Here is a 13570-nt window from a genome sequence, read left to right as displayed (position 1 = left end):
TTATTTTTAAAAGGTATTAAATGTGACATTGTAAAAACTTTCCCTGCCATTCCTTATTAAAATACATGATTTGCTCTGGTTATTTTCATTTTTAAAAAAACTTAAGTGTATGAGGAAAGAAAACATCAGTAGTAAAATATGGTACAAAATCCTGTTGTTGGAACAGCTGAGATTTTTGAAGTACTGATTGAATCATTCATTAAAGTTTTCAACAGTGGATTTGAGGCAGTTTTGTAGAAGCATTTTTCATTGGTTCAATTGTCTGTTTTTAAGGCGATATATCAAATATCTCAAAGGTTATGTACTTAGTAATGAGGCTGTGTAGAATTGGTATCATTGTCATTCTGCTGGAATGCAAAGTTATGAAGAGTGTGGGTTATAAAGCATTATTTTCTTCAATCTACAATATATAAGTAATATGAAGAAAGCAGTAAACACTATAGAGTTGGCCAGAAGGCCAGTAGGGAATAAACACAAAACTCCAAAAGATAATTAAAAACTGAACTCTTTTTCTCATTAAATGCTATACTTGTGGTATCAGGAGTATTGGTACCTGTTGGGTGCTGACCGTCTGCCAAAGATAGCACAGGATAATTTTTCATGACAGTATCTCCTTTAATCCTCATATCCATCTTATTAAATAAGTATTTAAGTCTGTTTTACAAATGATGAAACTGATACTTACATGAATTAACTTATTCAAAGTTGCATGGCCAGTGGGCCACAAGCCTGTCTAACCTTCGAATCCTAGTTTTATTGCACATTTCTCAAATTTGACATCTTGGAAAATCATATTTTTCTCCCTCAGCCGTCCTATTATTTTGGTCTGAATTTCACCTGTCATGTAGATGATTGAATTGATCTTGTTGATGGGTTTCTTTCAGGAATTACAGTTTGAAAGGCTGACCCGAGAGCTGGAGGCTGAACGGCAGATCGTAGCCAGCCAGCTGGAGCGATGCAAGCTCGGATCCGAGACTGGCAGCATGAGCAGCATGAGGTACTAGCGCCGCTCTGTTCATTGTCTGTGCTTTGAGTTGCCCCTGCAAGTAAATCGTGATGTTTCTCTTCTTTCCAACCCGGTGGTGGAATTGGAACATTCAGTCAAACGTTGGAAAGAAATTGTAACTGACCTGATTTAAGATGTTCAAAAGGTGTCCAAAATGTCCTGATTTGTATTTGAAACTCTTTTAACAAAATTAATGCCTGCCCTGAATGCAAATTATACGTAATTTTACACAAAGGAAGGCTTTGCATTCAGCCAGCTTGCTGGAAATCAGGAGATGCCAAGTCACAGTCTCCGAGTTTGGGACTTTTTTTTTTTTTCGTAAATGATCCAGAGCTCCAGGTTCCTGAAATAAAAGTGAGAACATTCTGGTGGAACCAGTATTGTTTTTGCTAATACATAATGCTAAGTTATGAAATTGCCCCTTGAAGATCAACCACACGTGCAGTTCCCCATGTGTAAAAATATTTCCTCATTCATAAACATAAATGATTATTCAATTAGTGATTAGTTTGAGATTATGAAATATATATTTTTTAAAGCCTATAACTTTTTAGCCACTTGACCACAAAATAAAATTATCCTCCTTAGAACCAGGCTTTCGTATATGAAAATGTAAGTGTATGTGTGCATGTGTGTGTGAAAGAGACATAAGGCTTAACTTCCATTTCTCAAAAACGCTCTTGTTAGATGGTGTGTTTTTGGCACTCTACTACATTTTTAGGGAGAAAACCAAGGCTGCTATGGCAAATAAACTGCAGTGAATACTGCAGTGAACTTAACACAATAGTAGTTTGTTTCTCTCTAAGGTAGCCAACTAAGCCTACTTCTTCTCCATATAGTGACTCACGCCCTCTTTCTAACTTGATGACCTTGCCATCCCCTATGGCTCCATCCTGAATTGCATCATCAATTGCATCACTGCACTCAGAGTTCATTAGTGAATTTCAGTCACATGACCTCTCATCGATGGAAGTGGGGCAGAGTCCTGGGGTCAGCAGCCACTCTGCAGAAGTAGGAACATGAGTTTGGTTGACTCTTAGCTACCTGCTGCCACAAAAGAATAAAAATGTCTTTGTATTCATTGTTCCAAAATACTTTATATTTGTAAGAGTATAACTTTGTAATTGCAGCATTTCGTATTGGAGTCACATGCTGTTAAACTTTTTAACATTGCTTAGTGTTTTTTTTTTCTTTAAATAGAAAGCACTGCACTCTCTGTTGTTAAGCGGGGTTAACCACGTGGATGGAATATTATTTTCCATTATAAAACCTTATTTAGGATATGTGAAAGCATCTGCTTCTGCATCCAAATGTATATGTTGCTGCAAATACGTACATCATGGTGTATTAAACTCATCACAGACTTGCCTAAACATCCAGATTAACCAAAGCAGGATGGATAATGAAAACAAAAAGTAAACTGTATTCACTTGAAGTTGGTTTTATAAGTTGGACTAATTGAAGGTGGTGAATTTAGGGAGAGAGAAAAATAATAATTTTAAGTGTATTTTTGCTTTACTCCATCTAATTTTATATACATGAAGAGCTTCCTATTAAAGCTGAACACTTGAAAAGCTAAGCCTGCCAGATTTTATAGGTCCATATGCACCATTGACTTGATGTCGAGTTGGCTTTGAAGCCTCTTGTTTCACTATTGGTCTGTTTACCTTTTCAGTTCATGTTCCTGATATTTCTGTGTGACATTTTCCCATGTTGTATACCTTTTACATGGTTTCATGCAACTCCAGCCCCTGATAGGAATGGGTCTAGGGAACTGTTTAGTAACCTGTGAATCAATTTCCAATTCCTGGTTGTATTGTAAATGGACCTGACCAGACTGTGAGTATATGGGCTCTTACTCTGGAGGATATGAAATAAGCAAGCCAAAATCTGTGACATACAATAGTGGGTGCTTGGCAATGGTGGCCATAGTGGCTTGTGTGCTAGTGGAGGACTCTGTGGTAACAGTGAGCCTCCCAAAACAGAGAAGCCATATGGCCCTGAAAGTCAGTGAGAGCCGTATAGTTTTCATTAGGACTGGCTGCCTAATGTACGTTTCATGTATGTTGCATTCATGACATTACCTGATACCTTCTTAAAACCTGTCCTCTTTCCTCATTTGATTTGATTCATCTCAAGTTGATTTCATTTATTACATCCAAAGTGTCTTGAATAAAATACATCAGTTAATTCCAAGGTAGACAGAAAAATGATACCATGACAACTTTTGGTTCTTTACACTGTGTCTTGTATGTCTAGCTTACAGCTTATGATATATAATCAATAAATCTGTCTTAAATCTGTACTAAATAATAGTGTTGAGTGAAGATGACACTGCCTAAATATTTCCCTTTGCCATATATAATATCAGTCTTCATCAAGCTTAATTATTTTGTATTTTGGAAATCTCTAATGTATGCATCTGCATTTGTATAACTACAAGCAATTTATTGATACTTCTCTGGAGAACAGTTGATGCATAGCATCACTTCCACTGTTTGTTTGTTTGTCATAACCTACTTGTTTTCTTGGCTTTAGAAATGCACCTTTAGAAATTCAAGTTTTCATTAAAGGTGATAGACTAACCTAGTTAGCACATCAAAAGGGATATTTAAACAAAAATAGAACGTCAACTTTTTTTTAAAAAAAGAGGGCTATTTTAAAAGTCTGGTAATTTCGATGTTGATTCATACCTCTTAATGATACTAGCGAGTGAGTAAAAGAGTTTCTTAGGAGAAAAGAAACAAAATCAAGTCACAACTGCCAGACATATTTGTATATAAGAGGTAGAAATGACTAATAAATATACTTCAGTTTTACTCTGACTTTAATGGTGGTAGGAATTGCACCTATCTGATTCCCAAGATCTCTCTCTCTTTTTTTTTTGAGATGTAGTCTTGCTCTGTCACCCAGGCTGGAGTGCAACTGTGGCACGATCTCGGCTTACTGCAGCCTCCCCCTCCTGGGTTCAAGGGATTCTCCTGCCTCAGCCTCCTGAGTAGCTGGGATTACAGATGTGCACCATAACACTCAGCTAATTTTTAAAAATATTTTAGGTAGAGACAGGGTTTCACCATGTTGGCCAGGCTGGTCTCGAACTCCTGACCTCAAGTGATCTGCCTGCCTTGACCCCACAAAGTGCTGGGACTACAGGCATGAGCCACTGTACCCAGCCAAAGATCTCTTTTCAGGTAGTCACATCAACATTTCAACTTTAAAAAAAAATTATCAGTATGCATTTGTAATACAAGTCAACTTCCTAACAGTCCATCCAATAGTACAGGAGGATGCTAGGAATTTGCGGGACAAGCAATCTGGAGATCTTTATTGTTGCAGCAGATCAGCTTCTGCATCTACCTCTGTAGGTTATAACTCCCTGCAAATGGGAACATTGTGTTCTCTTAATCTCTTCACAGACTTTCCTAAACATCCAAATGCATATCATAGTTTCCAGAATTCAGACTGTTTAGTGATTGTCTAAGGGTTCTGAGTCATCTGGAAAGAAGTTATTGGTGCTTTTTATTAGAGCTAAAGGTTTACTTTGTACCTTATCTCATTTCTGTCTTGGCTTTCCTCACCCAGAACCTATTTTCAGATCAAAAAGCTGTTGGATTCTTCATCTTTCCCACAAATAGAGATTTTGGTTTCATATTTTCTTCATGATTCCCAAGAACTATGCAGACCTGAGGCAGGAACACTATACAGATGATGCTTTTTTATGAAGGGTCATGATCAAGTCCTGCTTTATTTAAGATGATAATCAAGTCCCTCTTGGTAGTAGCCAGCCCTAACCTCTGGCCAGTACAATGATCTGGCTCATGCTCAGCCCAAGGCCCATTCCTGAGGCTGTAGGCCTGTCAATGAGGTGTTATCCGGCAGCTTAATGAGCCATCCAGTCCTCGTCCAGGTTGAGGCTCCTGCCTGGAGACCTGCCTGAGTACCTGCCCTTGTCATACTCTCCGTTAACCTTATAACAGCATTCAGACTCATCCCTCTGTCTGTATTCAGCCCAAGTCCATCCTCTACACGGCGTGAGTTAGATCTGCAGGATACATAAACCAGAACCATGTCTGTGAAGGATCCTTCCCCACTTCTGCAGTTCTATGAATGCATGATGATTTCTCATCTCAGAGCCTATGATGCTTTCTTCCTAGAATATCCTCCCTCTTTAGCATGGTTACCTCTGCCTATGGATCTAGTGACCCACCTCAGGGCTCATATCCTTCTGAATGTCTTCTCGATCAGCACAGACTGGACTGTTTCTCTGTTCTGTTCTTCTCACTGGACTGTTGGCAGTGGTTGTAACTTCACAAAGTGTTGGAGAAGGGTTGGGGCTATCACTCCATTGACTTTACCATAAGTGCCCTACCACAGAATATTTTAACCTTCAGTCAAAGAATGGGTAGGGATTTCTCCAAGTGTTGATGAAAATTTAAGGGCACCTAATAGGTACCTATACATATTCCTTGATTTCCATAGGCATCAGTAACATAATGGTAGAGAAATGGAATTCAAATCACAGTTGGACCACTCTTATGAACATCTCCTAAAGGGGACTTGACTCTGGAAAGACTTGTGATTGACGATCAGGGTAATTTATGACAATAGCAACAATTATGAGGAGTGTGACCAACAGTTAGATCTATCTATGGACTGCTCCTAAATGACACATAACTCTTAGAAGACTTATGCTGATGAAAATGATGATGATTTATGACAATAATAACAATTATAAAGAGTGAGGCCAGCAGTTCCTGAGTTTTTCCTGAGGGCTAGTACTCTTTGAAGAATTGTACATGTTGCCTCATTTCATGCTTATGGTAACCCTTTCAGTTAAGTGTCATCATTGTCTCCACTTCGTCAATTAGGAAGCCACAGCAGAGCAAGGCAGGAAGAATGGATCCTTGCAAGGACGTGGAGGAGTCTGGCAATGTGGGCCACATTGAACAAAGCAGGTGGAGGCTGCAAGGGGCAGGGGAATCAGACACAGCGTGAGGGTGACCATCCCTGCAGATGGCCTCTGCAGCCAGGTCACTGGTAGTCTCAGGGCTTTGCTGAGGTAACTTCTCTAGCAGAGCTGGCACTGGGCGTCAGAAGGCCGTAGAGGGAAGGAACTTTACTTGTCAGTTGTCCAGCAGTGAGGATGTGGACTGTAGCCCAAGGACAGCAGAGCCACAGCCCCCACTGAAGGAGAAAGATGGTGACAACAGCAAGCTGCAGAGAAGCAGGTGGCAGTTCTGATTATATGCACCATGCCCTTGTGCACCCTCCAGCTACTCCTGGAAGGCTCCAATGGGGAGAAGGATCTCAGGAGGCTGGGGAGAAGCGTCTCAGAAGGCTGGGCAAGCAGGCAAGATATCATAGCATGGAGACTTGGGGTGCTCTGACCCTTGTGAATCCTCCAGGTAAGACCTAGGTATAGAAGATAGAACAACAACCATTTTACTATTGAAGGGATCACAGTTTAAAGCGTCGTGCTAAATTCATTTTATGTGGTATAAGTGGAGAGCATAGAATATTGGACTAAAATGGAGTAGAGCAGTGGAAACATTTATTGTCTCAGCCTTAGTTAACATGAAGCCTCAAGGTAGACAGGGTTCTTTTCTTTAGATGTCTCAATGGTGCCATGACCCTAAGTCAACGTCTCTGATTCCCAAGCATTCACCTGATGGTTGTAAGGCACCACAGTCTCACTTGTGAGCATGTAGAACTGGAAAGGAGGGAAGGGACTTACATCCTATCTGTCTGTCTTCCACAATCCCACCCACACACGTGTATAAATATATACACATACAAATATAAAGGTATATAGTATATTAATTCTATAATTAATGATATATGAAAATATAGGAAAAATGTTTCCCAGAGGGCCTCACTTGGCCAGCCATACCCTGGGGGATCTTGTAAATTCCAGACTCCTCTGCAATGGTTTTGCACAATGATGCCCAAACCAAATATACATTTGGTAGCCAGAAAAGGGGGTGGTAGTGGTGCTAGTGTAGAACCTAACAGCTCCCAATTACGTGTTACCTACTTAGTCTACACGACCACTTGCAAGGTAAGTATTCTCACGTCATATAGATGAGGAAACAGGCTTAGATGTTAAATATCTTCACAATGCCACATAGACAGTAAGTGCATAGCTGAGATCGAGACCTCAGTCACAGGTTCCAAACTCCATGTTCTTGCACTCAAAGCTATAGGTTGACCCTGATCCTGACAACCTGGGCCCCACCCAGCACCTGTGTATACCTACCAATATATTCTCACAGGCCAGTGGCTTACACCTGTAATCCCAGCACTTTGGGAGACCAAAGCAGGTGGATTGTTTCAGCCCAGGAGTGCGAGACTAGCCTGGGCAACATGGTGAAACTCCATCTCTACAAAAAAAAATACAAAAAATTAGCCTTGAGTGGTGATGCTCTCCTGTAGTTCCAGCTACGCTGGAGGCTAAGTTGGGAAGATCACTTGAGTCGGAGAGGTCAAGGCTGCTGTGAGCTAAGATTGTGCCACTGCACTCCAGCCTGGGCAACAGAGTGAGACCTTGTGTGTCACACACACACACACACACACACACACACACACACACACACGTGTTTCTCACAGCCAAAGTATTACCATTATCTGCATTTAGGTAAATGTCTCTTTCCCTTGACTGTGAGCCCTTTCTGTACGTGACCTTGACATGTTCTTTCCTGTATCCCCTGCACCAAGATGGTACCTGCCATGGAACTTTTCCCCAGTAAATGCTTATTGATTGACTAAATGATGACTGAAAATTTCCAAAATGTAGTCTTGAGATTTGTACCATTTTCCATTAAACATTGTTTCTGAAACTAACCAACTTCGCTATGGATTTCTAGATTTATGGATTTCAGTCACCTCCCCCTTTGTTAATTATTGAAATAATTCCTCTGTCTTTTTTGGAAATCACCTCTTAATATTTTTGCCAATGGGCAGCAACCTGTGCCCTTCCTAAAGAAAATGAACCGTTCTTTGGAATTTTCCGCTAGGCTAATTCCCTCCTGGATTATCAAGAGATTCCAAATGTGTATGTCTCTTCAATAACTCCCTCATTCCCAGCATGGTTCCAAGGATTATTAGGTGGAAGAAAATTCGTTGCTGCTTGAGGTAGGCAGAATTCTAAGGTGTCCAGCAAGATTCCCGTCATCAGTTGGTTTTCGCAGACTGTATAATCCTAGGAATGTAAATATGAAGGGGCCTCACTCTCCTAATTAGGTTATTTTATATAGCATGGTTGACTTTAAGAAAGGTAGATTATCTGGGTGGGTGTGACCTAATCACACAAGTCCTTTAAATCTGGGTCTGGAGGTCAGAGACAAAGGAAAATTCAGAAAATTCAATTCGAAGCTAGAGAGTTTTGACACAAGATAAATTATCTGGTGCTGGCTTTGAAGACGGAGGGGCTTTGTGGGCTAGTAATGCAGATGGCATTTACATGCTGAGGAGGATCCTGAACTCACAACCTGCAAGAAAACCAGAACCTCGATCTGATGGCCCAAAGAATTGAATTCAGGTAATAACTTGCATGAACTTGAAAGGGGATGATTCCCCAGAACCTGCAGAAGAGAAAGTAGCCCTTGAGAAATTTTGATGATAGCCTTGTAAAACTCCAAACAGAGTTTTACAAGTCTGACTTGCCTGCCAAGTCTGACTTGACAAAACTTATAAAACTGTTAGCTGAAACAGTGAACGTTGCTGTTGGTGATTGGTTATGCATGATAGAAAAGTAATACAATGCTTTGTAATCGGTCATGTTAGATATATATTACAAAAAGCTGAATTATTAAAGTTTTTGAGAGAAAATAAATTTTATTCTGTGACAATATTTATTCCCTTCAAAAGTTTAATATATATACCCTATTTTATTTTTCAGGCATATATGCATGCATTCGTACTCAAAAGCTAATCTGTAGCTTTGATTCTGAGAAGTGGTAGAATTTGAATCTGGAGTGGAGTGATGGTTTACTATAGAATAAGGACAACTAAATAAAGCAATCATCTTTAACCCCACCATTTTTATTATATAGATTCCCAAGATGTTGATGTTGTTAGCTACACCTAAAAGGATAAAACGTAATAAATATTAACAGTTGCTTGCTCCACATAAGGAAGTGCTTTCTTTTCTTCCCACCTTTGAACTATTGAACTTTTGCAAAGAGAGGTTTCCAACAAAGTCTGCCATACTTTGGATATTAGGGGGCAAAAGGAATACGTGTTATAAATACTATCAAAGGCCATTCTCTTTATTAGCTAAATTTCATGAGCCCAAATGCCAACAGTTCTATAACTAGAGTCTAAAAATCTTTTCCACATATGCAAAAAAAGTCAGACTTATTTTAGAGAAGATGCTGATTTCCAGTTAATATATTAATAGTTAACAGTATTTAGTGAAGAAACAGAAGCCAGTGGTCACATACATTTTGTGAGAATAAAATTTATTTCTTCAAAAGCATGATAAATGTGAATTTTCATGAGGAAATAAATAATATAGGAATATAATTGTTTCACAAAGTAAGACATTTTATAGTTTCATTATCTTCTGCAGGATACAATATTGAAATAATTTGATTTATTCTTGCTTAAATAAATAATCAATTTGCCAAAATATTTATTTTTGGAAACCAGACATCTTATATATTGAAGAATATGCTTTTTACTGTTTACCAACCATAGCCATAGGAATTTATATCCTTACCACAGCGAGTACACATTTGCCAGGTGGAAAAAAAAAGTTAGATTGCTTTTGGATCATTTTTTTGGAAATTTTTTATTAAATATAATTTCTATTTCAAAGTTAGGGAGTAATTGTTAGTTTCCATGCTAGGAAAAAAACCATTTCTCATGAGGCTAAATTATTACTGCTCCAATAAAGTTGTACTGATTTATTTAAACAAGACAATTAGTTTATTGAATTGTCATTCAGAATTAACATTGCAGTAGTCATTTCCAAAGTCTTTGAGAGTGTCTGCTTCACTACAAAACCAGAAGAACAAATTAGAGGGACTATAGACATATTTTGGAGACTTCTCAGCATTGCCAATTTTGTTTTTTTCCAAGTTTTTCTGTCTTTGTTTTCTTCCAATTTAAATTCCAGAGCAGAACCTTCCCTCACAAATATTCCTAATTCAAAAATCTCCTTATGAATCATTGTTCTTCTTGTCATAACCCCTTTATTCTTTCACATTATTTCTGTTTTTTTTTATTTTAATTCTAACCTCATGTAGTTTGCCTTTTAATGCTGAGATTGTTCCTCTAAGATTCCTTCTTATAGTCTTTCCTTTTTCCTCATAAAGCAGGAGGGATATTCTAAAATACTTTTTGGGTCCTCAAGATTCATCTCCATGCTTCCCAAGCACCATCAAATTTCTGGTCAGGTTTTCATTCTCTTTCTCCTCCCGAATAGCAGGAGCATTTACAGCCGTTGCTTCTTTAACAGGGAAGCTCTTATTCCTCTAAACCTCTCTTTTTTTGTAGTCACTAGTGCTCTGAGACTTTCTCATCTAGCCAAGAGTCCAAGGCCACTCTACTGAGCCATGTCTATATAGTACCCCAGTTTTCTTTGATCTCCTAATCCTGAAGCAAAATACACAAACTGGATTAAAGCTGCTGCCTCCCATACTAAGGCTTTGCTGAGCCTTGTCAACTGCTAGAACTAGGTGTCTGTTTCTCTTCCATTTCCTTGGCTAGTCTATAAGTAATTTCTCCAGGACGGGGATGACAAGCATATGCGAAACCAGTGGCCAGCACACAGCAACTAATACTGTATTCATTTATTTAATCAGTGCGGAATGAATAAATGAATGAACAGACGAATGAACATACAGTGATTTTATTACTGTTCTTATCTCATTGGTATTGTTTGGCAGTATCACCAGTCTTATTAATCTTAAGTATTTCTATGTTTATATCTTCCAGTATACATATTATCTATTGTATTATTCATTTTTTTATGTTATGTACATTTTATATGTATTATATATGTAGATATATTTATATATATAATTGATTTATACAGTACATTAAATAGTATATATTATTCTGATCTTGCTAGGTCATAATATTACATTTTGATATTCATCATAGTTAATTTTCATGAAAATATCTACTTGTTAACGTGGTATCTTGGATTCCAGGGCCAGATAGCTTGATGTCCTCCGAATGTGGAACTATGGTTGATTTAGTCTCATACTTTCACTCTGATCTTAAGAAAAGGATGATAGTAGTTCTAACAATAGTAATGACTAATAATTTTAATAATAATAATTGCAGAGTTTATTGAGCAGTTTCCCTAGGCCAGACACAAAATTAAATGGGTTAGATAGATTATACCATGTCATCCTCGTTAACCCTTTAAAGTCTTATTGTTTTTATTTTGTAGATAGAACATTGAGATATAGAGAAAAAAAATCACTTTCTATAGATTCAATGGTGTCTAGACATTGATTTCCGAATCTAGGCATCTGTACTCCCCAAGCACATGCATTCAAATGTCACACCACAAGGCTGTCCTTCTGTCTAACACAGTATCTTGAATTGTGTTGTAAATAGTCACCTAAATGTCTCTCGTCTGTTTTCACCCTAGGGATGCGAACATTCTTGAACTGATATTCTGCTTCTTTTCCTTTCCATACACTGCAGTGATTATAGTTGTTTTGAGATTCTTCATCAAAATATATTTTTGAGATTTATTTTTATGCAAATTAAAAGCTTAAGAGTTTATGTTATCATTAGTATAATTACCTTCATATTAATTCTTGCAAATTGCCAATTGACAAATTATACTAATATTCTTGTCTATAAAATACCAGTCATCATATTAAGCGTATAATAGTTCTAAATTTATTTGAGAATAATAAATAGTCAGCTGTTCAAAGAATTTGATGTAGGGCCTTAGAAAGGTTGAATACTTTATGGTTATAATTATTTGACATATTTCTTACATCAATTACTGTATCTTAATGCTTTTATATCAATTTTGAAGTGTGGTTTCTTTCCTAAATGTCATCTTACTTCAAAAAGCTAATATTAATTTTACATCTAAAAACAATCAATATAACTAATTTTATTTAGAAGAATTGCAGTATAAACAGATGTTTTACAAAAACTAACTCTAATGAATTTTGAAATTTAATATTCTAATCAGTAGAGAACTGGAAATCTTTATGAATTTATTTAGGGTTGAAAATTCTTTATATTTTCTCTTCTTCTTAGAGCTTTTTCAGACTCATAGATCCAAAACATGGAGTTTGTAATTCCATAAATGATAGCTAAATTTCATTGTTATGTTTTTATGATATTTCCTAGCTTTGCCTTGAAATATAGTCATAATTTATCTTTTATTTATTTCTTTCATCTATAAAAATGGGGATAATGCTCTTCTATAAATTTGCAGTGGCTAAGTGAGAAATGTAAGTAAACCATCTCACATACCAACTGTTATGAGTGAATCATGTGTATTTTCCCTTTTTGATGAATACACAGAACATCTTTCATTGAAGTCTCTTTTCTAATTTTTCTACAGAAGATTATAAAATTGTTCCTCTCATTGTGGGCTAAAAAGATGTATCAGAGTAGTACCATGTTTGTCTCCTTCATAATATAGTCTAGACAACCACACAGAAATTGACAAGATGAGATGGAAGAAAGCTTAAATCAATTTCCCTTTCACGCAGGCCACCTTAATAGGTCTCCATGCGCACTGCTGGAACTGAAGATGAGATTTTCAATATTGTGTGATAGTAAAAAGAAGAGTGATAGTGCAATAATAACATATGTATAATAGGGAATGCATAATAAATTAATATATAGAAGTCAGTGACTCTTTGAATAGATACTCTTCAAACAGCAAACAGCAAGAGAGGAAGAGATTGCCCAAATCATGCACGCTTATTCCTCTCCCTGCTGTAAGTGTATAAATATGACGAGGAGTAGAAAGGCATTTGTGTCTCCATCATATCCACTCTGTCTTCCTTCAGATGCTGAGAGTCCAAAAGCTTTTACCAAGATGCATGTTCATATTTGTTTGTTTGTTTATGGTCATTATAGAACATTGGAAACAGTGATATTTTAGCCAACAAAATAACAATGAGCATTTGATGTGCTTCAGAGGAAAGTCAGCTGAAATGTCAGTCATCAATCTTGGGATGACTACAGCTTGTTGACCACCATGAACATGATTCCAAGTGTTCAGATTATTCGGATGGAAAAGGAAGGGGGGTATAGCAGAAAGTGTTGCAGTGAGTGCTAGAAGATTGTGGTCTTGGCAGCGACACATTTAAGGCGTGCCTTTAAGGTAGTCATTTGGATTTCTGTATCTCAGTTTCGCTCACCTGTAAATTAGGACACACAAAGAGCCTTGGCTTTTCCCAGTGGTCTCCTCTGGTGCTGTTCATCTGAATATTTTAGGATGGGGACATTAATTGAACTTTAGTAAAAAAGTAATGAGATTTAGTACTTTCAAGGAAAGCAGATGAATTATCTATAGATTTATTTAGCTTTTTTTAAATATAGAAATCTCCTGTTAGGTCAAGGCATGAACTT

The 13570-nt window shown here is 37.4% G+C and overlaps 1 protein-coding gene across 11 annotated transcripts in view; it reads left to right on the top strand.

The window, feature by feature from the left end:
• The window catches only part of CTNND2 (catenin delta 2), a 932611-nt gene that overhangs the window by 338506 nt on the left and 580535 nt on the right, over window positions 1–13570 (top strand). For all 11 annotated transcript variants that reach the window (NR_109988.2, XM_017009074.2, XM_017009072.2 and 8 more), the window contains one exon: window positions 885–997. Coding sequence is in view for 9 of the 11 variants with exons in the window: in XM_017009074.2 (XP_016864563.1) it covers window positions 885–997 (113 nt within the window). In the remaining 2 variants the exon portion in view is untranslated. The remainder of the gene's footprint in view (window positions 1–884; window positions 998–13570) is intronic.

Source organism: Homo sapiens, chromosome 5 (genome assembly GCF_000001405.40).
Source record: "Homo sapiens chromosome 5, GRCh38.p14 Primary Assembly".
Classification (NCBI taxonomy): domain Eukaryota; kingdom Metazoa; phylum Chordata; class Mammalia; order Primates; family Hominidae; genus Homo; species Homo sapiens.
This window is presented reverse-complemented; position numbering and strand designations above follow the sequence as displayed.